The 2,451-nt window shown below is 36.3% G+C and overlaps 1 annotated feature.

Moving 5' to 3' along the window:
* Positions 1,850-1,929: a silencer, noted in NCBI's record as "silent region_11545". NCBI's record gives its function as "represses an Ori minimal core promoter by ATAC-STARR-seq in GM12878 lymphoblastoid cells {active_cell/tissue: GM12878}" and the evidence as "EXISTENCE:reporter gene assay evidence [ECO:0000049][PMID:35858748]".

Raw genomic sequence — 2,451 nt, forward strand, 5'->3', positions numbered from 1 at the left:
TATAAGAGGCTTCCCCCTTCACTTGGCTCTCATTCTTCTCTTTCCTGCTGCCATGTGAAGAAGGACGTGTTTGCTTCCCCCTTCACCATGATTGTAAGTTTTCTGAGGCCTCCCCAGCCCTGTGGAACTGTGAGTCACTTAAACCTCTTTCCTTTATAAATTACCCAGTCTCCGGCATTTCTTCATAGCAGCATGAGAACAAACTAATATAGGCTGTATTCTCTCTTGATAACCAAAGGAGTTTTATATATTCAGAACTACCAAATATCAGCTTGGCAAATTTAAGTATAAATGGGCTTTTGATAGCTGTTAACAATGGGTTTTCACAAGTAGTTGGGAGACATGGCTTTGTGAATAAGTTTTGTTTCGTTTTCATTAAGAAGGAATAGTGACTGGGACAAGAAAAAGAAGGGAATATATTCCAGGTGTTTCTAGGGGTGAGGTAATTTGGCCTGCTAACAGTAAAACCCCAAGTTAATCAGAACCCGATTAACTTGCATTAATTGGCACCTCAATTATACACACACACACACACACACACACACACACACACATACATAAAGCAGACAGAAAAAGGGAGAGAGAGAGAGAAGAGACAGAGAGAAGAGAGAAGGGGAAAGGATCTGCCCTTAATAGAGACAAATGACAACAACAAATGAAACAGCAGCAAAATAATATCAAAACAGCATCTAGCCGCATAGGTTCTGCTCTCAATAACAGCATCATTTTCAGAAACGAAGCAACTCAAAATCCTGAATCATGTGACAAGATTGAAAGATAAAAGGGCTTAACCAGAAAATTCATGTAACCAGCACATGTCATTTCCCACAAATTATGCTTAAGCAGTGTTGTATATCATATCACTATAGTCTTATAAGATTATAGTTATACATCATCACTATATCATATATCATATCACTATATAGTTATATATCACATCACTATAATCTTATAAGATTATGGTGAGCCACCTAGAAGTTGTGGGTAGGTATGACTATATAATATTCTTCAAGAAAACAACTTTGGAAAGTTATTTAAGGCTTGAATTATATTATAGCAATGAAACTAACTGGAAATATAAGGGTATTTTTAAACAGACTTGAATCTTCAATATGCAGCTGGAGCAGCAGATCCTGGTATGACTTGTTTTCTGCTAACTTGCAGGCTTCTTCAATGATCAGGTTTCAAGTTTCACTGCGGCAACTGACTCAAAGTGATTATTTAGCCTGCAAAATAGAAAAGAGTATAAAGGGACATGGTTGAAGTACTGAAAATTGCAATTACAGAGGGCACGTGAAAATTGATCTGTTCCTCCTTTTTATCTGGTTGAATACAGGAACAAGAGAATTTAAAATACATTTTAGTTTTAATGAGAATACCAGAGATGTATGATTTTATGTGGCATTTTAAGAGGATATTATTCACAATGGCAAAGGAATCATGGGGAAAAAAAGTGACAGAAGGTATATATTTTTTACTGAATAATCACACATTTTAACGTTTAGCGATAGAGTCAACAAAATCATGTTTCAGGTGGTTAGACCCCAAGAACTTTTGGGCTAACACTGAAGATTCTGCTGGAAGAACACAATGGCTAGTACAATAAGTAAGGTTGGGAGCAAATTAACATGGTGGGCAAAGTGGTCCGTGTGTCACATAGTGTCCACATAATGATGATGATGATAAGGATAATAGCTAGTGTGTTTACAGCTACTTCCCCATTATTTGTAAGAAAAATTATATGAGTTTCATTTTGTTTTGTTTTCTTTTTTGCTTGAATTGCCTTCCCTGGGCTCCTTCCCAGCTCCCACATGCCCAATTCTGCATATTCAAATTTGACCTCTTCTTCAAATACCCTTTTAAAAATGCAGTGTAGTGCAAACAGCAATCTCTGACCTCACTACTAAGAAAGAGTAATCTTCTACTCTGAATCCCTCCTCCATACCTCTCATGCAGCACTAGTCATTTCCTGCCTAGTAATGTGGCTATGTGACTTATTATGTGGTTAGTTTCCCTTACTAGATCTTTGCATACGATTCATTATTTATCTCTGTATTCTCTGCATTGTCATAAGCTTTTATATAATAAGCAACGAACAAATATTTATAAATAATTATAAATATGTGTTTAATTAATGGAATAGTAGGAATGGAGTTGTATTAATTTCACTTTGTCACATCAGGCTCTCTTTGACCAATGTCTCATCTTTTCCAAGGATAAAGATGTAGTTCTTATGACTTCATGGACTCAGCATTGCCAGTGTTCAGACAGTGTACAATAGATATGTGCCAGAATCTTTATGTGTGAGTTAATTTTATACATTTTATAAATTTCATATATATATATATATATTTTTGTTTGTTTGTTTGTTTGTTTTGAGATGAAGTCTCGCTCTGTTGCCCAGCCTGGAGTGCAGTGGCGTGATCTCGGCTCACCATAACCTCCGCCTCC

Source organism: Homo sapiens, chromosome 2 (genome assembly GCF_000001405.40).
Source record: "Homo sapiens chromosome 2, GRCh38.p14 Primary Assembly".
Taxonomy (NCBI): Eukaryota; Metazoa; Chordata; class Mammalia; order Primates; family Hominidae; genus Homo; species Homo sapiens.